This window comes from Homo sapiens, chromosome 2 (assembly GCF_000001405.40).
Source record: "Homo sapiens chromosome 2, GRCh38.p14 Primary Assembly".
In the NCBI taxonomy this organism is placed as follows: Eukaryota; Metazoa; Chordata; class Mammalia; order Primates; family Hominidae; genus Homo; species Homo sapiens.
Window position 1 is genome coordinate 169,939,004 of NC_000002.12, and position 27,901 is coordinate 169,966,904.

Here is a 27,901-nt window from a genome sequence, read left to right on the forward strand (position 1 = left end):
TTCTTGAAAAAAATTACTAAGTTATATTTTTCTAAGAAATCTTTATTTTACGTTTATATTTAATGATTAAAAAAATCTTCCTTGTGTTTTTATTCCTATTATTTATTTGTGTTTGCTATTTCTTATTTTGAATTAGGTGTCATATGAGATGATTATCAGTTTTACTATGTTTTCTAAGAACCAAGTTTTGATTGTCTCTCTCCTCCCACCCCCATTTTCTATTTCATTCTTATTCTTTTTTCCTCTATTACTTATTAACTTTTTTTTTTTTTTGAGATGGAGTCTCGCCCTGTTGCCCAGGCTGGAGTGCAGTGGCAGGATCTCTGCTCACTGCAAGCTCCATCTCCCAGGTTCATGCCATTCTCCTGCCTCAGCCTCCTGAGTAGCTGGGACTACAGGCGCCTGCCACCACGCCCGGCTAATTTTTTGTATTTTTTTTTTTTTTAGTAGAGACAGGCCTTCACCATGTTAGCCAGGATGGTCTCGATCTCCTGACCTCGTGATCCGCCCACCTCAGTCTCCCAAAGTGCTGGGATTACAGGTGTGAGCCATCGTGCCAGGCCTTTTTTTTTCCTTTTTTGAGACAGTCTCACTCTGTCTTCCAGGCTGGTGTGTAGTGGTGCAATCTTGGCTCACTGTAGCCTTTAACTCCTGGGCTCAAGCGATCTTCCCACCTCAGCCTCCTGAGTAGCTGGGATTACAGGGGTGCATCACCATGCTTGGCTAATTTTTGTATTTTTTGTAAAGACAGGGTTTCATCATGTTGCCCAGGCTGGTCTTGAACTACTGAGCTCAAAGTGATCTGCTTGCCTTGGCCTCCCAAAGTGCTGAGATTACAGGTGTGAGCCACTATGCCAGGCCATTATTATCTTCTTTCAATTTAGTTTGGATTGTCTTTTTTCCTTTTCTTGGATACTTGGTCATTGCTGTTGTTTCAGTGCATTTGGTTTTCATTTTTAATTACTCCCTTTTAATTTTTATTGTTATAGATTTTAAAAATATTTTTAATTGATATATCTTAGCCTTAACATTACCTTTTACACAGTATTTGAAGATACTTCTCTGATAGTTTCATACATGTATACAATGTGTAATGATCAAATCAGGGAAATTGGGATATTCATCACCTCAAACATTTATCTTCTTTTTATGTTGGGAACATTACAGTTCTTCTAGCTATTTTGAAATATAAAATACATTATTATTAACTATAATTTGGATGCTTAGTTGTTGATTTTTTAACAAATGTATGGATTTTAAGGCTATGTATTTCCTTCTAAGTACTACTTTAGTTGTGGCCCACAACTTTTTCTATATAGTTTAGGCTTTAAATTTTTCTGTTATGATTTTTAATGGCTTCTGAATTTCTAAGAGCATAGCGCCTTAAAATGTCTGCATGTCTGGAGTTTTGAGTTATATTTTTAAGTTGGTTTCTAGTTTTATTTGCTATGTGACAAGTGAATGTGGTTCATGTATCTGTTTTTTTGATATTTTTGAGATTTACTTTGCATTCTACATAGTCAATTTTTATAAATATTCTAAGCGCTGTTAAAATTATGTGTATTCACTACTTGTTGCATGTTGCCTTTGCCCATGCTTCTTAATTGTGTTGTTAAAAATCTTAAAACTGTTTACCAATGTTTTTCTGGCTCTCATTTAGATAAGTATGTTAATATCCTTTACTATGGTTGTAGATTTGTCGTTTTCTCTGTGTAATTCCCTCAAAATTTGCCTTTTGTATTATGAGGCTGCTATTACAGTTGTCCCCTCTTATCTGTGGTTTAGTTTTCTGTACTTTCAGTTACCTGTAGCCAATGGCTGTCCGAAAATATTAAATGGAAAATTCCAGAAATAAGTAATTTATAGATTTTAAATTATATGCCATTATAAGCAGGATGATGAATTCTTGTGCCATCCTGCTCTGTCCCACCTGGAATATGGATTGTTCCTTAGTCCAGTGTACCATGCTGTATATACTACTCACTTGTTAGTTATTGACATTGTCTGCTCCTGACATCCAGCCATCACATTGTCATGGCCTGATGATTCAGGATCACCTGAAGCAGATATTCCTCCTTCTGATGACATGTTGTTAGAAGGTCATTAGTAGCCCGATACCATGTCACAGTGCTTACCATCATTCACTTCACTTCATCTCATCACATAGGCATTTTATCATCTCATATCATCCCAAGAATAACAGGAGTGAGTATAGTACAATGGTCCCCCTCTTATCCTCAGGACATGTTCCAAGACCCACAGTGGATGCCTGAAATGAGGGATGGTATCCAAACCCTATATATACTATGTTTTTCTCCTACAATACATACCTATGATAAAGCTTAATTTATAAATTAGAGATAGTGAGAGATTAACAGTAATAACTAAAGATAAAATAAAACAATTATAACAATACTCCGAATGGCATCCAATTGAAAACCTGTGAATTATTTCTGGAGATTTTCATTTAATATTTTCTGACCATGGTTGACCATGGGTAACTGAAACTGTGGAAAGTGAAACTAGGTATAAGGGGGACTACTATACATAAGGTATTTTGAGAGAGAAAGCATGTACACATTCACCTAACTTTTATTACAGTATATTGCTGTAATCTATTATCACTTACTGTTGTTAATCTCTTACTGTGTCTAATTTATAAATTAACCTTTATCATAGGTATGTATGTGTAGGAAAACATAGTATGTAGAGAGTTTGTTATTATCCATATTTTCAGGCATCTACTGGGGGCTTTGGAACGTGTTCCCTGAAGATAAGAGGGGACTACTGTATTTGCATACAAGTTCATAATTATCTTCTTGGGGAACTTGTTCTTACATCCCAGAAGAGACAGACAAGCTAATTCATTCTCCTTGTGAGTTACTCTTTCAGTGAGGGTAAAGCCTGTCAAGGGTCTCAGCTTTAGATGGGATATCAGTTCTATCTCTGAGCCTTGTGTGAGCCCAACATACCTTGTGATCTGTTTGCTCAAGGACTTTAAAACCACTGGCACAGTGTTAGTGCTTGTCATTAATTCCTTCTTTTTTTCTGGTAACTGGAGAATTCCACTTTTGTGTGAGCTCAAATACGCATTCAAAAGATTACATTTATATTTTATCCAGCTTTTCCAACCATTCGTAGTGGGAGAATTTTCAGGTCGTCTATTTTGCTTAATCGTTACAGCTGGAAATTTCCTTGCTGAGTACTTCATGTGTATTCTTTCTGTTCATTTCTCTTTGTTAGCACTTTAAAGTTTATATATTTTTTAATTTTCAGCTTAGCTCTCTTTACTCATCTTTAGCCATTAGGAAAAGAAATAGTAATGTTCATTGTGTAGAGAATAGATACCTCTTTGGCATTTTAAGCAATTTGATTAAAAATAGCACTGCATAAAATATTGTGACAGAAATTGGTGTCTATAAATTACATTTAAACCACAGTTTGATTTTGAGGCTATCATCTAATTCTAGTTTTGTTTTATTTTTACAGTTTAAAACAGAGTGGAAAATTTCCTGGAAATCCCTGGCCTCCATATAAGAAAAGGACATCACTCCATCCTAGCTATAAAGGTCTTATGAGACTTTTGCACTGTAAAACTTTACACATTGTGCTATTCACTCTGCTTTACAAGGTACAGTAGTAATTTGAATAGAAAGACTAAGCTTAGAATTTATTTTCAAATAATAATCCTAAAGGATAATATTTACATAAAAGTACCACTTATAAAGCAAAGTGTATTTATGCATTTAAGATGTATGAAGATATGTTATAATCACATGTATTTGAAATCCAAGTTGAACATAACAGAATAGCTACAGCATTCTTTGTGAGAAACTATTTATCTTATCTAGCTACCGATAAAAGTATTTATTTATGGATTCTGTAGAACAGTAAGTGAAATACCGTGGAACTACAGGAGGTGTGGAATGAGCTACAGGGACCAAACAACCATCAGAACCCACTAAAATGACAAAACTAGAATGGCAGTTATGTGAGGCAGTGAATCTTAGGTTGGGGGGTTCTTTTTGCTTTTTCCCTCTAATCAGGAAAGTGACGTGGAAGGATTTGAGTGTGGTTTCTATGTGGCAAGATCAAAAATTGTTTTTGATAAACATTTTAGGAACTAACAAGATGATGCTTTTACTTGCTTGTTATCTAAAATTTGTTTTATTTTGGGATCTTCTCACGTAAGACAGATTTATTTGACTAACATTAATTGTGTACTCAAAAACTTGTGTGAAGCATAATATTGTATAGTATGTATGTGTGTATATAATAGGGATTTTTATAATCTCATCTGCATGAAAGATGAAAGAAGGCTGGGCGCGGTGGCTCACGCCTGTAATCCCAGCACTTTGGGAGGCTGAGGTGGGCAGATCACGAGGTCAGGAGTTCGAGACCAGCCTGGCCAACATGGTGAAACCCTGTCTCTACTAAAAATACAAAAATTAGGTGGGTGTGGTGGTGGGCGCCTGTAATCCCAGCTTCTCAGGAGGCCAAGGCAGGAGAATTGCTTGAACCCGGGAGGTGGAGGTTGCAGTGAGCCCAGATTGTGCCACTGCACTCCAGCCTGGGTGACAGAGCAGGACTCCAACTTGGAGGGGGAAGAAAGATGAAAGAAAAAAGAAAATAACTATACTCATGTAGATAATATAACTATATAGACATGATAAATGTTATGCAGGTAGATACAAAGAAAACCTATTGTTCTTCTTCCTAATTAGAATTTGAAAAATTAAAAATTAAAAGAAATTCAAAGAAAAATGAGAATATTTGTTATACAAATTTCCAATTACTATGTACAATCATTTAACACATTATTTAAGAAAGTATGTATTTAGTTAGGTAGGAATTTTATTTTTTTTCTTAATCTTATAATGAAATAGTACTTTTAAATTTCTATACTTCTCTTCCTTTCAACCCTACCCGTGACCAATTTTTCAGTGTACTTGTTTCTAAAGTTTTCCTGTTACGATTTTGGACAGGTGCCTCAAAAAACACCTTGGGTGGTTTATTTTCATTAACTTCCAAGAGGGTTATTCAGTAATTGATTTAAAATGCTCTTTTTCTTTATTAAAAAATGTAGAATATCTTTTTGTACTGAAAAGATATTTGTATTTGTTTTACAAATAATGGACAGTCTTTGAATGTTTACTTAGTGCCAGATTTTGTTTGAAATGCTTTATATATACTTGTAGACATTATTTTGTTTAAGCTAGCAAAAATCCTTATAAGTGAAAGTTCTGTTATTATTCTCCTTTTTCAGATATGAAATTGAGTTTTAGAAGTTAAATAACTAGTTCAGATGGGGAAGCTAAGTACTGTTATAAGTAATAATTAATAAGTGACAAGTAATTCATGAAAAATTAAGGAAGCCTTATGGCAAATTATTTATTATGCTCTTTCAAGTTATATTTTTCAATTTTTTGTATGCTAAATGTACAAATAGTATTTTATGAAAAATAAAAAGACAATGTTTTAGTTGTTACAAGACTATTATAAATGAATTTTTCTCAACTTTAAAATAACTTTCTTGATTTTACTACTAGTAATAATAAAGTTCTCCATTGACATTGCGTTGGCAAGTCAACTTTTTAAAAATCAATTTTAGTAAACCACCTTTATCTTCTGACATGTTTAATGTCAAAATAAAACTCCCTGGAAACATCATTTTTATTTCTTTTTTTTTTTTGAAGTACCTAATAGAGGGATGTTTTCCTCTTTAGCTCTGAAGTTACTCAATTAAAGCTGTAATCCCACAAGCTGTGAAGTGAAAATTTAATTGAATTTAGCTGGTAATGTTTTATTTATCAAGAGGAGATAGTATAGTAATGATAGTCAGTGGCCTGGGGGTCTGAGGTCTGTGTTCTAGTGTTGCTTACACTAGCTAGCTGGTTGTGTGGCTGAGCCTTGGTTTTCTCTCCATAACATAGTGGATCAGAAAGGATGACTTCTGTGGTCTCCCAGCCTTCAGTCTCCTCCTGCTGCTGCCTCTGCTCCTCACATCATTGGCACCACCCACTCACTATTTGTTGAACACCCATTGCTAGACACTATACAAAGCAAATGACAGATATTAACTCATGCAATCCTTACAACAATTCTGGGCTATAATTTCAGTTTTATTTTTCTTTCTTTTAGTTTTTTTTTTTTTGGTTGGGGATGGGACAAGTGAAAGGGCTAGGAGGGGCTCTATAATTCCAATTTTAGAGATAAGAAAACTAAGACCAGAGTCTGTTGCTGAAGGTCAACTAGGAATAGACAGAAATTTGTTTAAAAATCTGTTTTTTAAAAGGTTTTGAATGCCTATGCTCTTCACCACTGTGCCACACAACAGATGAATATAGAAGCCCTCTGAATAGTCAGAAAAACATGAGAGAGTCAGTGACTTGAAAGTCTCTCTATTCTTTAATTGTGGTAGGTTAGGTCTTAAGCAATTAAGACCTCCTTTCCAAGTCCCCTCAGCCATCTGGGCAGCTTCTGTGAGGCTCAGCTTATCCTGTCCTCTTTTTTGCTCTCTGCTATCTCGCCCACAATTAAAACTGCTGCTGCCTACAGAATTTCTTCCTTTCATCCTTTCCATCATTTGGCCAGATGACTTTTATAATGAGGACAAGATGATATCTGCCAGGCCATTTTGTTACTTGTGGTATTTTAGGTATCTTCTGGTTAGTGGTCTGTTATATCATATTGAATGAGTGATTGGTGTAGGTAGCCCAGAAATCCTGTGTAAGATGTATAAGGCTTGTATTGAGTAATCTATAGGTCAGATGTATCAAATTTTCCTCAGAGAAGCCTTTTTACTAACCACTTGCATTCCTTCTACCTTTCTCCTCCATATAAATCCCACACTGACATACATAAGAATGTAGCTACTCAAAATACTCAGAGGCTCAGAACTTTAATTTTAGAGACATATTTTTAAGAACATTAATGTACCATAAACATTTATTGTGCTGCCAGTTATATGCCAGGTGCTGTGCTAAACACATTTGCATGGATTATCCTATTTGGTAAACTTATTTATCTGATGGCCTTGTCATCAAGAGAAGAGTGTCAGCAAATTAGGATATAAAAATATTCTTATTAAATTATTTTATTAAATACTTATATTCGTATGAATTTTTTTAGTGGACTCTGACATACCTTTAGAAAATTTGTGAACTGGTATTTCTAGATATTAAAGTACTTTTCGTCTAGAACAGTAAAATATTTTTGGATCTCTAAATGAAATACCTTTTGTGGAAAAAAGTAATTATGAGGCATTTTCTTCCCTTTTTAAAGATTTTGATGGATCATCAAAATCTGTCAGAACATGTACTCTGCATGGTTTTATATCTGATTGAATTAGGACTTGAAAATTCTGCTGAAGAAGAATCAGATGAAGAGGTAAGTAGTTTTTATAATTTAAAATTTTTAGATAGGCAGCCCCTATCTGGCTCCAACCAATTGTTGCCAAACCAGGCATGTTATACTTTTCCTAGTTATGACATACCTTAGGAAAATGTATTTGTGAATTCATCTTGAGGTGTATTTATGTTTTCATCAGACTCATAAGATCTTTTAAAGAACTACTAGAAAAGGCCCTTTGGGATCTTCAAATACGTACAGTTTTTTAGGGCCTTCATTGATACATTAAATTCTATTATGGAATTATTGAATTTGAAATTTGTAATTCCTATCACAAAAATTAAGAAAAATGTTTAATGCATTTTTGGTGTTATGCTAAGAAAATTGATTATTGGCAAACAATTACCAGTAATCAATAAATAACCAGTAAAACTGAAGTTAGGACTTAGCTCCAAAAATTCTAATAATTTGATTAGGGATTATTTTTGAGTAACAAATTCTTCCTGTAAAGGTTTGAAGGTAATGGCATGAATATTGTTATATGGGAGAATGTTTAAAGTACTTAAAAGTTGTTACTTTGTTTCAGGACTTTAGAAGTATTGTGTCCATAAAAGCAATTGTTACTACAAATTAGTTTTACTAATGTGTAAGATTCTCCTCATCTCTTCCCTCCTAAATGACAAAATATAACACAGCATAATAATAGCAAAAACAAGTTAAAGAAACCACTTTGTAGTTCTTTGTAGTCCAAGTTGAATCAACATATGTTCTTTCATAGATTTTAAAAGGTTATAAAGATTCCTCTATGATTAGTGATACCTTTGGTTGATTTTTCAATTTCCTCCCAATTTGTCCAAATTAGCATTATTTGTATTACTAATGGGTGAGGATGAATATTCTGTAATGTTCAGTATTCTAGATTGAAAAATGTATTTAAAAATGTATTTTAAATCAGGAATTTAGCTGATTCCATTGGACATACCCATATTAGTATTGAGATATTCCTGCATTTTTTGTTTGAATTTGGTTTTATTATTTAAATTTATTCACTTTATAATTTGTGGATGAGACAATAAGGGATTCAGGATTATGATAGGCAGTGGATGATTTTGGGGGGCTTGTTACATCTCCATTGTACCTTGGACGTGATGTGGCAAGACTTGATATTCATTTTTTTTTTTATTTTAGGCATCAGTGGGTGGACCAGAACGTTGTCATGACAGTTGGTTTCCTGGCAGTAACTTAGTGTCAAACATGCGACACTTTATAAACTATGTTAGAGTAAGAGTTCCAGAGACTGCTCCTGAAGTAAAGAGAGACTCACCTGCAAGTACTAGCTCTGATAACTTGGGTTCTTTACAAGTAAGTGTAAATGTAAGAAAGAAAATAAGAAAAAGCTTTATGTTATGTATGTTATGTTGGGATATACTGTTCCTATAATATCCAAAAGAAAAAAAAATGTGGTTGTAGATAACTTTAAATTGTCTTTTATTTCCTCTGATATATCTATGTAACTTCTACCTTACCAGTCTTTTTCCCTTAATCTGCCAGAGTTCACGACGGCCTAAAGTTCTTCAAAGAGAGGTAGATGTGTATGATATTTTCATTAACTAGCAACATGGCTTTAACTGGAAATGGGGAAAAACCGCTTTGAAGTATTTGTGTGTGTATGGGTGTTTAATTAATATGGTTAAATTTAAAAGAAGGTTTCTTGGATTTATGTGTGTTTTTTTTTTTTGACAAAGTGATTTAAGCTTAATATTAAAGAAAATTTATATTATTGAGCTTAAAAATAATACTGAGTATAATAGTGTATTTTTCTTATTAGTGTTCGAAGTATTTTGGACCAATTATAGGTAGCATATTTGAGTCTCTTTACATTCATCATTGCCACTGTATTACTAACATCTTAAAAATGACTTGGATATTTTCTAAATTAAAATAAATTTAATTGCTAGCAGCATGCTCATTTGCAAATAACTTTTTTTTTGCTTCTATGGCAATTAACTTTGATAAAATAAGCCTATAAAGTCTTAAATTCTGTATATTATGGCTTTGGACTCATTTTGAAAATCAGCGCTCTCATTGCATGTAAGTTAACTTTTAAAAAGCAGTAATGAAAAATCTTGAAATGACATTGTAAGTAAGTAAACTTAAGCAGTTTTAGTCTCCACAACCTAGATTTTCGTGAGTAGAGAACATTGAATCAGACATTTCTTCTAGTAGAGTCTATTTGTAGGAGCTTTCTTGGTCTTTGACAACGTGTTTTCACTGTAAGCAAAAACTGGAAACTCTGTAAGAGGCTTTTGCCTCTAATGCTGGTAGAGAGTACTTTAAAAAACAGCTTGGATGTTAAAAAATAGTGTATACTGTCATTTAACTCACAAAAGCTCAACTGATATTACAGCATCCTTTCTATGCTCGCTTTTAAAAAATAAATTCATTAAACTGACTCATATCTTAATTAAAAGATGTTTTCTGAGAGCCCTGGTGCAGTTTGATTGCTTTAGCAAAAAAGCTTTTTAGGAGATGAATTATTGAGGAAAATACTTAGTTTAAAAAAAAAACTGTTCAAAAAACAAATCATAGTCCTTGACCCACAAACCAAAAACAAATCAAAAACAAATCACAAATCACAGTTTTAATTTCATATTAAAATTTAATAAAACAAATTAAATTTCATATTAAAATATGAAAGTTTGATTTTTCATCCTTATATTTCAATTTAGTAACTTTAAGCATTTATGTTAGAATTTTCAAACTTTAAAGTTCCTTAAAAGTGAAATTAATTACTAGTTCAGATTTATTAGCTTAGAAAATTTTTTTAAAAACTAATTTATAATTTTCTTAACTGGAAACTTTAGCAGTCTTCCAGAAGTTAGTAAGGAGTATCCTATTCTTCATGAATGTTGACCAGAACAGCTTTTCCTCTTTTAAAGTAATGAATAATTTAGTTTATGATTCTCTTTAATATGGCTGTAGATACTACTTAAGCTTTGTCTGTTTTCAGAAGGTTGAAAAGGAGATGTTACTGCTGATGATCTCCTCCTTATTACTGTTTCTAGATTGAGTGGGATTAAATATATTTGAGAGAGAGGTCAAGGGAGAAATTTATTTAAAGAGCAAATCTATTGAATAAATCTTTGTATGAAACTGAGCATTCCCTTTAGAAAATATAGTACTAATATGTTTTTAAAATGATGCTAAATAACTTCTCTTGATTTTTCTTTGTTTCTCTTTGTTAATGGTAGAATTCTGGTACAGCTCAAGTTTTCAGTTTAGTAGCAGAACGTAGAAAGAAATTTCAGGAAATCATCAATCGCAGTAGCAGTGAAGCAAATCAGGTGGTTCGTCCCAAAACTTCAAGTAAATGGTCTGCTCCTGGTTCAGCTCCACAGTTAACTACAGCCATTTTGGAAATTAAAGAAAGCATATTGTCTTTGCTAATTAAACTTCACCACAAACTCTCAGGAAAACAAAACTCCTACTATCCTCCTTGGCTTGATGACATAGAAATTTTAATCCAACCAGAAATTCCTAAATACAGTCATGGAGATGGTATAACTGCCGTGGAAAGAATTTTACTAAAAGCTGCATCGCAAAGTAGAATGAACAAACGCATCATTGAAGAGATATGTAGAAAAGTGACCCCTCCTGTACCACCTAAAAAAGTCACTGCAGCAGAGAAGAAAACATTGGACAAAGAAGAAAGGTAATTTTTATTTTTAATGTTTTAAACGTGTGTATAGTTGAAAATTTGATATTTTCTTCCTTTTGGTCATTTGAGGATAATCACCTGGATGTTTAACAGGAACAGTCATAGCTGATTAGTTTGTAACATAAATGGAATGGAGCATAGTCAGTGCTTGTACATGTGATGTATTGAGTTTATTGATGGACAGGTGAGACTTTCTGACCCCAATGTAAAATTACTACCTTAAACCTGTGTGTCTCTTTGGAAAAATTGCTACTGCTTTTATTGCTGTAGGGATCTAATAATTCTCTTACTGTTAAAGTTGAACTGTTCAGCTTTAAATGAGAATATTAAAAATATTTAAAATATTTCTCAAAATAAAAATCCAACTGCTTTAGTTTCTTTTGGTCTTTTCTAATCTTTATTAATATATGATTGCTGATTTTTAAAAAGTGATGTTTTAAAACACATTCTGACTAACTTATGCTTCTAGCTTTTGGATCTTTAGGTTGCTTATAATTTGTTGTTAAATTATATTTATAAACTTTTTTTTCATCTTTTGACTTTCTTGAAAAAAAAATGGGATTTTTTTAAAATCTCAAGATATATACTATGTTATGTGGGGTTTGTGGGTCAAGGACTATGAGCATGGTTTGGTTCTTTTTTTTAGTGGTACATTGTTTGCCAGAAGAGTTGTGTTACTGTGCATTGTCACAAATTGTTTCCCAAGAGCCTTGTCAACATTGCTGACCCTGCTGTCATAAACATGACAAGGTGAATCTTGAGAGATTGAAACTCTGCATAATTGTCAAACTCTTGGAAAGGGTTCAGTGTTTATTAAAGAAAAAAAAAAAGAGCATGCCTTCTAATGAGTGTACACAGGCTAAAAGACCCAGGACATTTAAAAAAAAGATTTCAGATCAAATTCAAGATAGTCATTGCTCACTTCTCTGAGGTTATAAATAATATTCATTGTTTTAATTTCTTTATTATTTAAGACAAATTTGTCTACCAAAGCAACAATTATAGGGGAAGGGTACACATTTCCCGTTAGGGAGGGTCCAAAGAGATCACATCAATATTATCTTAATTTAAGAACCTAGGACCTTTATCATCTCAATCTGTTTTATATAGGTAAAAATCATTGTCAACAGAGTTATCTGGACTACTGTTGTGAGCAGTATGACTAATACATTATTTAGCAGTTTGAAGTGTACTTTAGAGGTATTTTCTGGATAATTTCATCTTCTTAGTTACTTTTAAAATTAAATATAGGCAGTTATGGGTTAAATGATCAGTGGAAGCAAGCCTAAGATGGATCTTACTTGATTGATCCGTTTCTCATTCATTGGGTGTCAGTCAAGCAGTTTTCTAGACATATCTGTGTCTGGTGTTGGACTTCCTGACCTCGAGGAATTGATACTATAATGGAGAGACAGACTGGTAAACAGATAGTTTGTTAGTAGTGTTAACATAGTGTAACAGATACTATCTTAGGTACACAGGGTGTTAATGGGAGTAGTAGGACATAAGGCTAAGAAGGTAACCATGTATCGTTAACTCGCACAGGGTATAAATGGTTACAGGGAAACTGTGGAAGGATTTTAAGTGAGGAATAATATATAGGGTAATTACATGAGGGTAGATTAGAGTGGGGTAAGACTGGAAATTGGGAGAGCAAGCTACTTAGTCATCTAGTGGGGCAGGTGTGGTAAGGGTCTGAACTAAGACAGTGATGATAATAAAGAGAGGAGGAGATGTGTATGAGATATTTAGCAGGTACAAGTTGTTAGACTCAGTCATCAGGTTGATGTGAGAAATGAGGGAGATGTCTTGAATGGTGCCCTGATTTCTGACTTGAATAATGTTCCTTTTACCAAGATAATGGAGTGTAGGAGGGGTCCCAGGCTCATTAGTAAAAGTGATCTGTTCAGTTCTGGACGCTACTAAGTTTAAGAGGGACACCCAGGTGAAGGTGTCCAGTCAGATATAGGGTTTAAAACTTAAGGGAGAATTCTTAGAGCTACAGATTTGAGCAGCTAGGTAGTAGTAAATCCTTGTATATGGGAGAAGGTTTACAGTAAGAAAATGAGAAGACTGAATGTAGAACTTAAGGGAAAAACATTAAAGGGAATGACTGAGGAAGGGGTACCTACAAAGGTGACTGACGAAGGGATGGCTGAGCAGAGTAAGAGAAAAACTGGGGTGAGTGGCATTAGAGAAGTCACAAGAGGAAGTTCAGAAAGCAAGAAACTTATCAAAATTGTTAAGTGCTACAGGAGTTCAATAAGATTGGCCATCCTATTTGATTTGTTAGTTAGGAGGTCATCCGTTGGTACCTGTATAAGGAGCAATTTTAGTCACATATATAGTTACACTACATCTCTGATGTAATTAAAAGTTTGTTGGGAGGCCGAGGTGAGTGGATCACAAGGTCAGGAGATCAAGACCATCCTGGCCAACATGGTGAAACCTCGTCTCTACTAAAAACATAAAAATTAGCTGGGCGTGGTGGCGTGTGCCTGTAGTCCCAGCTACTAGGGAGGCTGAGGCAGGAGAATTGCTTGAACCTGGGAGACAGAGGTTGCAGTGAGCTGAGATCGCGCTGCTGCACTCCAGCCTGGCGACAGAATGAGACTCCATCTCAAAAAAAAAAGTTTGTTATAAAAAATTTATATTAATATATGCAAAAGCTTATGGTAGATTAAGAATTTAGGAGAATTCCTAAATTGGAGTTATAAAGAACTAACACAAAATTTGTTTCCGTGGGAGAAAGGACATTCAGTAACATATAATTCAGATGACCATTCATTAAGTTTGAATTAGTAATAGCCTAGAATGTAATAAATCTACTGACAAAATTAGAAGGTTGAAAATGAGGTAAGATTGTTATTTTTGTTAATTAGTGGTCTCTCTTAGTGGTCAGATCCTTCTTTCTGTTATATAATAGTATATCCTTTTATTTTGAAAGAAGATAAACAGTGAATCAAAATCTGTTTTTCTTGATTAAGGGAATTTTGTAATTATTACTAATAATGTGATACTGGAGGACATAGTTTAGATGCTGCTTTTACAAAGGCCCTGATGCTATTGTAATAAATAATATTCTAAAAATTTTAAAGGCTTTCTTTGTGATAGGTTTTGTTTTCTTTGAACAATGATGGTATTGACAAGGACTTGAAACTAATTTTGTAGCAGACAGCTAAGGATTAAGATGACTCTATTTGGATCTCACCGTGCTTCTCACATTTGTCTTTCCTCTGGTTTCGTTTTGGATTTTCATAATAAAGGCAGAACAGTTCATAAACACTTAATGAGGATCCATTTCCAAGTACTTCACCTTTAGACAAACTCAGCATCACTTTCATAATAGATTAACTTAATAGAAAACAAGATGCAAGCAGAAAACATTAGATGGTTGTAATAAAATGCAGCTTCAATGTCTTTAACCCAGGAGTTAATGGAAAATTTTTGAGTTGTCCTGAATCTGCCAGAACTTGTATATGTTCTTGTTAATGGCCTTTATTTACATTTATGCCCATTTAGAAAAGCAATAATCTCGATTAAGAAAACATTCACAACAATGACATCCCATTTCTGGTTAGTATAGAAACCTGCTATAGAAATGCATTTTAGTATTAGTGTCAAGCAGTTACATTTGAGGTTTTCTTATGTTTAATAGATTTTTAAAAAGTACACTCTATGGACATATGTATTCTAATTGTAAGTGTACATGTTTAAAGGTGAGCTGTAGAGTGAGTGGCATTAATTAAAGAAGTATGGCAAAACTTACAGATTTACGAACTAGTGATTCAGAAGACCAAAAATGTAGTCTGTCAATGCTGTTGTTGCTCATAGCATTTTTGGAGGTCACTTAGAGTGCTTTGAGCATCTAGAGCACATTTTTCTTTGCTTCCATTTCTTCCATTGTGGCAAATATTTGTCCTTTGAGGATGGATTTAATTTTAAAAAGCTTTTTATTTTGAAGTAATCTTAAACTTACATAAATGGTTCAGGAAGTTCTTTGTACCCTCAACTATCAGAATTAGCAGATTGATAGTGGTATTTGAGTATGATTTAGATCCCAAGTTTTGATAGTTGTCCCAATAATGTTTGATTTGTCTTGTCTTGTCTTGTCTTGTCTTGTCTTGTCTTGTCTTGTCTTGTCTTGTCTTGTCTTCTCTTCTTAATTCATTTCTTTTCTTTTCTTTGAGACAGGGTCTTGCTCTGTCACTCAGGCTGGAGTATAGTGGTATGATCACGGCTCACTGCAGCCTTGACCTCCTAGGCTCAAGTGATTCTCCCGCCTCAGCCTCCTGAACAGCTGGGACTACAGGTGTGTGCCACCATGCCTGGCTAATTTTTAAAAATTATTTGTAGAGATGAGGTCTTGCTATGTTGCCCAGGCTGGTCTCAAACTCCTGGGCTCAAGTGATCCCCCCGCCTCAGCCCCACAAAGTGGTGTGATAACAGGCATGAGCCGCTGCTCCTAGCCCCCAATAATATTTCTTTTGTTACTTACCTTTTTTTTTTTTTTTTCGTTTTTGAGACAGAGTCTCTTTCTGTCACCCAGGCTGGAGAGCAGTGGCGCGATCTCAGCTCACTGCAACCTCTGCCTCCTAGGTTCAAACAGTTCTCTGCCTCAGCCTCCCGAGTAGCTGGGATTACAGGTGCTTGCCACCATGCCCGGCTAATTTTTGTATTTTTAGTAGAGACAGGGTTTCACCATGTTGGCCAGGCTGGTCTTGAACTCCTGACCTTGTGATCCACCCGTCTCGGCATCCCAAAGTGCTGGGATTACAGGCGTGAGGCACTGTGCCCAGCCAGTAATATTTCTTATAGCAGAAAGATCCAGTTCATAATCACTCCTTGCATTTAGTTGTCATGCCTCTTTGTTCTCCTTCAATATGGAAGTTTTTGTTTTCATAACCTTGGCACTTTTAAAGATTATGAAGCAGTAGTAACATTGTAGAATATCCCTTAATTTGGGATTGTCTGTTTTCCCTTTATGTTTTGACTCAGTTTATACAACTTTGGCAGGAATGTAAATGAAGTGTTGCTGTTTTCTTTTCATTGTATCCCACAAGCTGTTATATGATTTCAATTTGTTTCATCACTGGTGATTAACTTTGATCATGTCTGCCAGACTTCTTCACAGTCAAATTACCTTTCCCACCCCACTTTACAATTAATACGTAATTTGTGGAGAGATACTATGAGATATTGTAATATCCCAATTCATATCAACTTTATATTCATTTATTTTTATCAGTGTGGACTCATGGGTTCCTATTTTATTTTATGGGTTATAATCTCATATGCTTGTTATTAATTTTGGTGCTCAAATTATTACAGATTTGGCCACTAGGAGTCATGTCAAGCTGGTTTCCGGGTCCTTTTGATCTATTCCCATCATTCTTTGAGCATATTCCTATTTTCTGGGGCAATAAGATGTTCCAGGCTTGGCCAGGTGTCGTGACTCACACCTGTAATCCCAGCACTTTGGGAGGCTGAGGCGGGCAGATCACCTGAGGTCAGGAGTTCGAGATCAGCCTGGCCAATGTGGAGAAACCCTGTCTCTACTAAAAATACAAAAATTAGTTGGGCATGGTGGTGCGTGCCTGTAATCCCGGCTACTCAAGAGGCTGAAGCATGAGAATTGCTTGAACCTGGGAGGCAGAGGTTGCAGTGACCTTAGATCGTGCCACTGCACTCCAGCTTGGGCCATAGAGTGAGACTCCATCTCAAAAAAAAAAAAAAAAAAGATGTTGCAGGCTTATCCTGTACTTGGAGTCAGCCATTTCTCCAAGGAGTCCTGGTTGCTTTTAGGAGAGAATGGTATTTAGAAACCCCAGTCCATGTGTTTATTCTAATGAAGTATAGCTGTCTCAGGCCCTCTTAGGACAGAGCTGGGGAAAATTGTGTGTGTGTTTCTTTGTTTGTCTGTGTTTGTGTTGGAAGGTAGTGTGAGAGAGGAAGGGAGAAATTTATATTTAGTTTTATGTCTGACTTTATGTACTGAAAACTGTGAGTTCACTCTGATACTTTCAATTCCAATCCATCCCTCTAGGAGTCATTCTTGTTTTCTCTCTTTCTCAGTTTCCAGAGTAACTCTGTAACTCTCTACTTCTGCAGTGAGATACCTGACACCTATAACTCTCTCTCTCTCTCTCTCTCTATCTGTGTATCTATCTATCTGGATAGATATATTTAACTTTTTTAGTTAAAAATTACATATATTTAACTAAAATGTTATATATATATATATAACTTTTTTAAAAATCAACTCCCTTATATATAACCACTTTCTTCTAATCTTTTACCATACAAATGCCCTCCCGTGCCAGGTTGTCGAGTCCTGACACTCTGTGCTAGGACATGTTCAGAAAGGGAAGAGAGGGGATGGGTAGATTTAATTTTTTGAAATGGCCAACATCATTGAGAGTTAACTTTGATGAATAAGTTGAGTGATCAACCTGGATAATAATATTTTGGCTCAAAAACAGTATAAAAGAATTGTTGTTATAAAATAATAAGGCGAGTTTTTTATGTGGATCCTAAATTATCTGTAAATGTTAGAAAAGGAGTGTTAACAATTTTTTGAATATTATTGGCAAAAATATGTAACTTCTCATGGTAAAGTGGACCACAGAACTTGACTTTGTAGTTGCTCCTGATTATCCCCACTAATTTCATGGGAGCAAATGTGTGGATAATTTAAAAATTACTGTATTTCATTCTTCTGAATTTTGTATGTTATATCCTTGAATCATATCAGATTAATAGAAAAATACTTTTAGGTTTCCCATAACAGTGATTGCATAGACTCTCAGTTTAACATAATGCTTTGACTTCTATACTGTATAGATATAATAAATGGTCATTAAAGAAACTGCTGTAGTATACTCTGTCCATTATGTTCTCATGTCTTCTGTATTATGGGTATGACACAAAGGACATCAGTTCCTCTTTGAGTTTTGTTCAAGTAAAAATTTATCTCTTCCGTGAACTAACATATAATTTACCTTTTCTAACCTTTCATTTTTTCTTCTTCCTCTCCTTCACTTCTTGTTTAAATTATTAATTTAACTTTTCCTTACTGGGAGTGAAACTTTATGCTTACTAGTATTGTTAGCATCACATAATCTGAAGAAACCTGTCTCCTTTCTTTATTAGTTGACTTATTTTCCTATTCTTATGTTATGGTAACACTGTATTGGTGGATTTTTTTTTTTTGGCAACCAGTTGCAATTAAAATATTCTTTGGATGTCCATCAGTGATAGACTGGATTAAGAAAATGTGGCACATATACACTGTGGAATACTATGCAGCCATAAAAAAGGATGAGTTCATGTCCTTCGTAGGGACATGGATGAAGCTGGAAACCGTCATTCTGACCAAACTGTCACAAAGACAAAAAACCAAACACTGCATGTTCTCACTCATAGGTGGGAATTGAACAGTGAGAACACTTGGACACAGGAAGGGGAACATCACACACCAGGGCCTGTCGTGGGGTCGGGGGAGGGGGGAGGGAAAGCATTAGGAGATATACCTAATGTAAATGACGAGTTAATGGGTGCAGCACACCAACATGGCACATGTATACATATGTAAGAAACCTGTACATTGTGCACATGTACCCTAGAACTTAAAGTATAATAAAATAAAATTAGCCGTTAAGCTACAAAAAGAAAAAAAATATTCTTTGGAAGTAGATAAGGCATACATAATAAATATAATATAGTGAATTAATCCAAGGGAATATTTAGGGCTTTGTAATACAGTTTTATTCTTATGTTGTGTTTGAGACTCCTTCACATTCTTTTACTTTATACAAAATAAACCAAACTTGAAATATGTCCTAGTAGAAACGGGGAAACTTACTGGCTTCTGTTCATTCTCTGTTAGGAGAGGCCTATTCTTAGGGTAACAGTAAATATGACTATTCCTATCTTTTAGACTTTGTTTATATCTAAACATCATAGCTTCTTCTAGCAATCAGTTTACTGTTATTTGTGCCTGGGATTAAATTGTTAGTCTCTTGCTAAAAAAATATGTTCTTGGTCTTGCTACCTTCTGACGTATACTTAGGAACTTGTGTTATTGGAAATCCAAATATTCTATCTACCTTAATTATTATTTCACATTTTAAAGTACATCTTGGCTTTTATTTTTATCTATTAAACCAGTGAGTTTGTAACCTTTTAAAATTAGTAGAATCCTTTTAAGGACAATCAAGTATTAGAAGAAATTTAATACATAATACAGAAAATAGATTGTTCTCACCTGTGTGCCAGGGGCTTTTCATACATTATATACTCCTGAAATATAGTAGCTAGGTCTTAAGCGCATCTGATACTTAAAACTTTATTTCTGTTTAATCTAGGCGACAGAAGGCTAGAGAGAGGCAGCAGAAATTGCTTGCGGAGTTTGCTTCACGACAGAAAAGCTTTATGGAAACTGCAATGGATGTTGGTAAGTCAAAATTATTAGTTTAGAACTCTCATAATTATACTTATTACTTTAGGGATGATGTAGTCCAGTCTTTTACTAATTTAAAACATTACACACTTTTGATTTCTAGTGTTTATTTGGTCCTTAAACAATATAGTGATGGAAGATCAGACTTTTATTATAGACTTTTATTATATTCTGTTGTTAGTAGCTGTAATTGTTAGGAAGTTCTTCCTGATGGTAGCAATATAGTATGCTCCTTTTGTTCTCTTCTGTTAAACGGTCTTTAGATTTGTGAGATCCATCAATGTACATTTACTTGTCTTGATCTTTTTCTGTGAAATTATCTTAAAATCCTTAAAATAGTTTCAAATGCTTCTAGTGCCTCTTTCTGGTATCCCTTCATTATTTCTTAAAATCAGGTGAACTTCTCATTTCCATTAAGATTAGCATTAGAATTTATACAGTGAGAGAGGATACCATGTTTCTGTATGATAGTAGCCTTTTACACACATTGGAGAAATAGATTAAATCTCAGTGTCAGTCTTTAGTTAACCAGGGTATTCCCTTCCCTGACTATTTCTTCCATTCCAGCAAATTTTTTTCTTTGATTTTTAGAAAAAATTGTGGAAAGAAAATAAAGTCATGCATTTAGTTAAAATACACACATATATGCATTCAAGCAGGCATGTACATTTTCATGCATTTTTGTTTACCTAAACTCATAACCAACTTCCTGAAGAAATGTATAGCGATCAGTTCAGATTTAGCCTAATGGGTTCTAAACCATCTAGTGTAGTTAATGTTCAGGATATAACTTTGACAGAAAGAATACAGATTGAGCACCCCTAATCTGAAAATCTGAAAATCTGAAATCTAAAATGTACCAAAATTCAAAACTTTCTGAGCATTGACTTTCCACTTGTGGCATCATGCCACAAGTGGAAAGTTTTTAACTTAAGATTCGTCTTTTGAGTTCCTTTTCTGGCAATTGTTGATTTCCTTTTCATTTGGGTCTGTTACTGGAGAGCTATGAAGTTCAAAATCTCTATTAGGTTTTTCCAGAGGGACAGAAATGGTAGGATATGTATATATGAAAGGGAGTTTACTAGGGAGAATTGGCTTATGTAATTACAAAGATGACATCCCATGATCAGCCATCTGCAAGCTGGGGGATGAGAAAAGCTAGTACCATAGTTCATTCCAAGTCTAAAACCCTCAAAACCAGAGAAGCTGAAAGTACAGTACCCGGTCTGAGGCTGAAGGCTGAAAACCCCCAAGAGGCCATTGTTACAGGTCTGAAAGACCAAAGGCCAATTTATCCATTTCTTTTAGGTTTTCCAACTGGTTGGCATATAGTTGTGGCATGATGCCACAAGTGGAAAGTTTCACACTTGACCTCTTGTGATGGGTTGCAGTCAAAACTATATTTCATTTACAAAATTATTTAAAATGTTGCATAAGGCTGGGTGCGGTGGCTCACATCTGTAATCCCAGCACTTTGGGAGGCCGAGGTGGGTGGATCACTTGAGGTCAGGAGTTTGAGACCAGCCTGACCAACATGGTGAAACCCGTCTCTACTAAAAATACAAAAAAATTAGCTGGGCTTGGTGGTGCACACCTGTAATCCCAGCTACTCAGGAGGCTGAGGCAGGAGAATTGCTTGAACCAGGAGACAGGTTTCAGTGAGCCAAGATCATGCCATTGCACTGCAGCCTGGGTGACAAGAGCAAAAAAAAAAAAAAAAAAAAGATTGTATAAAATCACCGTAGCCTGTATGCATAAAGTATGTATGAAACGTAAATGAATTTTGTGTTTAGACTTGGGTTCCAGCCCCAAGATATCTCTTTATATCTATGTAAATATTCTGAAATCTGAAAAAAACTGAAATCTGAAACACTAATGGTCCCAAGCGTTTCAGATAAGGGATACTTAACCTGTACTGAAATTCTGTTTATGGAATTTATTTAGCATCAGTTGACTTTATCATATGAAAGAAGAGGGTTTAGTTTATTGACACTACTTTCCCTTTCTCTCTCTCTTCTTTACAAAAATTGATAATTATATTTTTGTTTTTTTACATGTTTAATATAATTACAATATTTACGTATCGTTCTATTGTAGTAGTCAGTATCTTGATACCGCTTCATATAAAATGAACTAATAAGCACCCCATCCTTCCTTTCCTCTTTTACCTCTTGCCTTTTTTCAGATACTTTTAAACTTTTAAATTGTCAAAGTTGCTGACATTTTGTTTTGCAGTCACATTAATGTCTTCCATATGAAGACATTAAAACAATGAAGAGTTTGTATTAGTATGACTTTTTGAATGCTGTTGAGTACAAGACTAGATAATGTGCTACATAATGGTTCTACATCGACTGTTTTTGAGTCCAGTGGCTCAACTCCTGGACCCCTTCAAAGAGACTATCTTTAGTACGTAGCCTCTTTTCTTCCAGTCCCTTGATTGCTAAACCCATACCACCTCTTATTTGTTTCTATATGGACCATGACTTTGTTATGTTGCCTTTTGTTTTCCTTGAAGTTCCCCAACTGTCTTTTTAAAATTTTATTTTTAAAATTTTATTGTAGCAAGAACCAATGTGCCTTTATGATATCTCTATTATTCTATCTACTCAATCATACAGTAGTCTTTTGCATGGAATTCTTTTCCAATGGACCAGTTCTTTTCCAATCTGGTCCATTTGTTCTCCAGGCATGCCTTATAGCTATTACCTTAGGATTTTCCCCTTTTGGGATTGATAATAGAGATTCTTACATATTAACGTCATCTTTTTAAAAAATCTTATTTTATTGGGGTACCAATTCAAGTATATATATACATTTTTTTTCTTTTTTAAGAGTCAAGGTATTGCTATGTTACCCAGGCTGGATTTGAACTCCTGAGCTCAAGCAGACCTCCCACCTCAGCCTACCTAGTATCTGGGACTATAGGCATGCACTGCCATGCCTGGTTCAGATCTTAATAATGCATGTTTGGTAGCTAAACCGTCTGATTCTTTATTTCTGGAAGGGACTTTAGTCTACTCTCACACTTGATTGTTCATTTAGATGGATATAGAATTCCAGGTTGATAAACATTTTCTGTCACAACTTTACAACTGAAGGCATTGCCCTTTTGTCTTTTACCGTTCATTTGATAAAAAGTCTGGTGGTAATCTAATTCTTACACCTTTGTAGGTGAGCATTTTTTCCTTTCCTGTGACACATTTGTGATTATCTGATCCTTAGAGATCTGAAGTTTTATCATTTGTATCTATGAGATCTTTTCCCATCCTCCTTAGTGCTCAATGAGCCTTTTCAGTCTGAAGATTCATATCTCTGAAACTATGAGAATTTTTTCCCATGTTTTTTTTTTTTTTTTGATAACTGGTATAGTCATCCTCCGAGATGGTTCTGAATGATCCCTGTCTCCTGGTCCTGATGCCCTGTGTAGTCTTCTACATAGAAGTGCATGACCTATATGGCAGAAGTGAAGGTATATTGTTTCTCATATTAGGTAATGAAAGACGTTGTGGCTTCTGTCTTTGTTACTTTTTCTCTCTCTTGGATTACTCATTCTGGTGGAAGCCAGCTGCCATGTCATGAGTATCCCTGCGGAGGCCCATGTGAGTGAGGAACTGAGGCTTCTTGCCCCAACAGTCGTGTGAGTGAGCTTGGTTGTGAAACTTCCTGTCCCAGTTAAGCTTTTATTTAATTTTGTTATTTTTTTTCTTAAAAATTTTTTTTTTTAATTAAAGAGACAAGGTACTTTCTGTATTGCTCAGGTTGGTCTGGCCTTAAAGCAATCCTTCTGCCTCGGCCTCCCAAAGTCCAGGATTACAGGTGTGAGCCACTGCACCTGGTGCCAGTTAAGCCTTTAAATGACTGCAGGTTTGACAGCAATTTCAGGAGAGCTCCTTAGACAGAACCATACCACTAAGCTGCTCCCAGATGCCTGACCCTCAGAAACGGTTTGAGATAATTCTTTTTAAGCCACTGAGCATCAGGGTATTTTGTTATACAGCAATACTTTCCTTCTTACATTTTATTCTCTTTTGGGACTCGTAATTGGATGTTGGATCTCCTAGATTGATCTTTTAATTTTTTAATGTGTTTTATCTTTTATATCATTTGTTCTTTTTGTTTTACATACATAGAGATTTCCTCTCTTCAGTATCTTGTTCTTACTATGTGTATAGAATTTTCTCTAAAAATCTTTCTGAAAGAGTTTAGGGTGTTTCTTTTTTTTCTTTATCTGTTTTTCTAAATTATCCTTCTAAATTGCTTGAAAAACTTATGTTAGTCTTTCATGTTGCTAGTTTTCCTCATTTGCCTGATGATTCTTGATTGTCCTGGAGAGGTGGTCTGGGTAGCTCTTGTGGGTTTATTTTACTGAGGTGTAAAGAGGTTTGGTCCTAGTAATTGTCTCTAGTCTGTGTACATGGGTAAAGTGTGTTGACTGTCAGATTTGGATTAGGGTTGGGAGAAGGGCTGACTGCTCTAGGTCAGAGCGCCCAGATGCTAACATTCACGTTAGAAGCCCCAGTTTTCTCTAAGCTGCTTGTTCAGTTTCTTTGGATAAGAATAGGCTGGTTTTTGTTGTTGTGGATGATCCGTTTTTTCTGTGAGGTAAATGCCAAGCCCCCTGGATGCTCTGTTTAGTCAGAGTTGGGGAAGGAATTGGGGTGCTATGTAGTGAAGTCTGTATACAGTCCTTCAAATAATTATTCTGTTTTCAGAGTCATTTTATACTTATGGCTCCTGTCTTCTGCCTCATGTGCTGATTCTGAGCCCAGAGTTGACATTCTAATGGATAGATCAATTCTTCCTTTTCTGTAACTTTCCGATATCACATATCTTTTCTCTGTCATCATGTCTCTTTCTCCTCCAGTCTCAGAAATGTTATTGACATCTCTTATTTGCTGGTGAAATTCTCTCCTACCACTTCATCCTTTTTCTATATTCTGTGGGAATATTTCTTCATTTTTTTTTCTATCTTTATTTCAGTAGGAGTTTTTTAAAAAAGAATGCGGGACAAAAGCAGATATTTAGCCTGTAATCTTGAGTTAAATACTTAATATGTATTATTTCAGTGTATAAAGTTAATTTTTTATAACAAAAGCACTAAATTTTTTATTAAAAGTTAGAAAACACAAATAATAAAAAATAAGAACTAATATATTTTTACTACCAGATTTCCTAACCTAGGTTATACCCTTACAAGACTTTTTCTAAGTACATATGCATATAAATGCATTTTTTACCAAAATGAGGTTTTACAATGCTATTTTTTTCTTATGAAAAATTCCAAACATAGAGGAAAGCTGACAGAATAGTGTTGTGAACACCCATATACCAATATAACCATCACCTTGTTAACATTGTTCTGTATTTGTTCTCTTGCTTTCTCTCTACTAAATGAAGTAAGTTGCAGACCTTACTGCTAAATACTTTTAACATGCATGCCTTAGGATTGAGAATCTTCTCTTACACAATCACAGTACATCATACCTAAGAAAATTACTTTCCTACAAAACAAAGAAAATAGCTTCAGAATATCTAACTCAGTACTATGTTAAACAATGAAATTATTGAATAAAACTTTTAAATTTCTTAAATTTAAAAAAAATGTTTAAAAAGTATAACAAATTTTAAATTGTTTACAGATTATTTTGTCCTCATTGCATCCCACCAAAGATATATAGTCAAAGTTTTGTGCTCTGAAGTTACTTAAGAGCAGTCCTTTTTTTGTCAGGTGATGTAACTAGTCTGATGTACAGTTTTAGTTCACCCATGTCAGTATGTTTGCAATTTTAAGAACTAAGAGAAAAGCTTAATTAATACTTTAAGAAATTGTTTTTATTTGCTACTTTCCACTCACAAGTGAGACAAAACAAAAACAATTTTCTGAGGAATCAATTAAGCAACGTACCCAGAGCAGATTGGGTGGTATTGCCTTGAATAAGAGAATGGTCACCTTATCCTCTGAGGAAACTGGAGGGAAGGAGGAAAGAATGGATGGAGATAGAGGTAAGTTCCACTGGCTTTAAGGGAAATGGGAAGCTCAGGCAGATGACGTTTGATTGCTTTAGTTTTCAGGGTTAGGTAAAAGGTGAGTTCTGGGTGAAAAAGAATGTGACCTGAAGTTTGGAATTGCTGAGGAGAGTGGGAGACATTGGTCATGAAAGCTGACTATAAATAAAGATTGATAAACAATGCTTACAGCTCAGTTATAGTCAAGATCATAGATTTGAATGTCATAAGTGCAAAGTTATTGACTCCATGTCCTAATTTTTGGAAGGTTTGACCTCTTTTGGCAGTAGCCAGGGCACAGGAAGAACAATTGAGGGATCAGGCAAATATGATTGCTAGCAAACAGAGGCAGTTCACAGAAGTCTTCAGGATAATGAGCTCTACTTTCTCCCAGTCTCGGTTCTTGTATGCTGCAGTGGTGACAGGTGAGGCAATAAAGATTTACGGGCATTTCATTTGTTTATGTTGGCCATGGCCACACCACTAGGATTCCAGATCACACTGATTCTGTATTCCCTTTATTTATAACAGTCTCTTTCCAGAGATATCTGACCCCAAAAAGCCTGTTTGAGACCCCATTTTCACCCATTGCTCAAGATAAAACTTGCAAAGTCACATGTTGTTCTGCTTTTAATGACTATTTACATGTCACTTTTTGTACTATAGTATTATTAACACACGAAGCAGGGCCTATACCTGAAGTAGTATTAATACTTGGCAGCAGTACTGATACAATTTAACCTTAGCCAGATCCTCTCCCTCATTTGTCAAATTCCTTTTTTTGTGTGTCTTATTTCATATCTGTGTTGTAAGGACATAAATAATCTGTATAGTAGTATCTCCTTATCACTGGGGATCTGTTCCAAGGCCCCCAGAGGATGGCTGAAACTAACCATGGGTAGTATCAAACCCCATATATACTGTTTTTTTCCTATACATGATAAAGTTTATAAATTAAGCACAGTAAGAGATTAGCAACACAATAATAAAATAGAACAATTACAACAGTATGCCAGCATCACTGCTCTTATACTTTGGGGCCATTATTAAGTAAAATAAGTGTTACTTGAACACAAGCATTGGGATATTACAGCAGTTGATCTGATAACAGAAATGGATATGCTGGACAAAGGGATGATTCACATCCTGGACAGGACCAAATGGGACAGTATGAGATTTCATCACGCTACTCAAAATGGTGCATAGTTTAAAATTTTTGAATTGTTTATTTCCGAAATTTTCCATTTAATATTTTCTGACCATGGTTGACCACAGGTAACTGAAACCATGGAAAGTGAAATCCTAGATAAGGGGAGACTACTGTAGTTGCTCCTTTTTATTGTGTCTATATCTTTGTATATAACAAAAATTCTAATGTAGAAGCATAACATACAAAATATTTCAAATTTATAACATACAGTATGTTATAAATCCTCTAATCAAATATAGTACATTATTAGGTAGTTTAAGTATGAAAACTTTTCTCTCTGAATGCAACACATTTCTACTGTGATTAGCACTCTTGCCTATCTGTTTAATGCCTTTCTCTAGTTATCAAGTTTCCTACATGAAGAGGCAGTATTACTTCTGCATTTCCTTTCATCCTTCTTTCTTGATCATTATCCTCCCCACCACCTTTTTTAATTTTTACTAGCCATCTATGTGTAGGAGTCAAGGTGTTAGATTATAACCTTGATCCATTAAGATTTGTCCGGTTTGTCAGATAGGTATAGCTGAAATGCAACAGAATTACGTTCCCAGTGAGAGTTCAGGTACTTAATAAAGAATAAGAATTTATTTGGGAATTACTTTCTGTTATTAAACATATTACATTTTAATTGTAAAATTTATACAGTACAGAAAAGCCTCAAGAAGGAACAATTTTATCCCTGATCCCACTATCCAAATAACATGTACACTACTGATTATACTATATAGCACAATTTTATGCCATGCCTTTTTACCCAATATTTTAGTGTAAGAATTTCCCTACATTATTATTGAAAGCTTCTTGTAACTATTAAAGTCTGTACTTCTTTGGGGAAGCAGTATAGTGTAGTGGTTGTGAGCATGGACTCTGGAGCCTGACTGGGTTTATAGCTCAGCCACACTCCATTGCCTCGAGTAATTTACTTAACTTCTCTCTACCTCGTTTTCACATTGTTACAAAGGAATTTTTATACTACCTCATAGGGTTGAGAGGGTCAAATGTACGTACATTTAAAATGCTTAGAATAGAATGGTACATAATAAGCATTATATAAACGTTGGCTATTGCTGTCATCATTTTTATTCTACAGCTTGCTTAATCATTCACCCACAAGTGGACTGTGTAGGGTTTTTTTTTCTAATATTAATGATAA

At 34.8% G+C, this 27,901-nt stretch overlaps 1 protein-coding gene across 1 annotated transcript in view, besides 1 other annotated feature; it reads left to right on the forward strand.

Annotated features, from left to right (window-relative positions):
* The window catches only part of UBR3 (ubiquitin protein ligase E3 component n-recognin 3), a 256,678-nt gene that overhangs the window by 111,550 nt on the left and 117,227 nt on the right, over positions 1–27,901 (forward strand). The window contains exons 20-24 of the mRNA NM_172070.4: positions 3,490–3,631; positions 7,285–7,389; positions 8,539–8,712; positions 10,602–11,062; positions 19,435–19,523. Of these exons, the coding sequence (NP_742067.3) occupies positions 3,490–3,631; positions 7,285–7,389; positions 8,539–8,712; positions 10,602–11,062; positions 19,435–19,523 (971 nt within the window). The remainder of the gene's footprint in view (positions 1–3,489; positions 3,632–7,284; positions 7,390–8,538; positions 8,713–10,601; positions 11,063–19,434; positions 19,524–27,901) is intronic.
* Positions 14,253–15,452: an enhancer, noted in NCBI's record as "MED14-independent group 3 enhancer chr2:170809766-170810965 (GRCh37/hg19 assembly coordinates)". NCBI's record gives its function as "activates an origin of replication core promoter dependent on BRD2, BRD4, P300/CBP and CDK7 cofactors, and independent of MED14, by STARR-seq in HCT116 cells {active_cell/tissue: HCT116}" and the evidence as "EXISTENCE:reporter gene assay evidence [ECO:0000049][PMID:35650434]".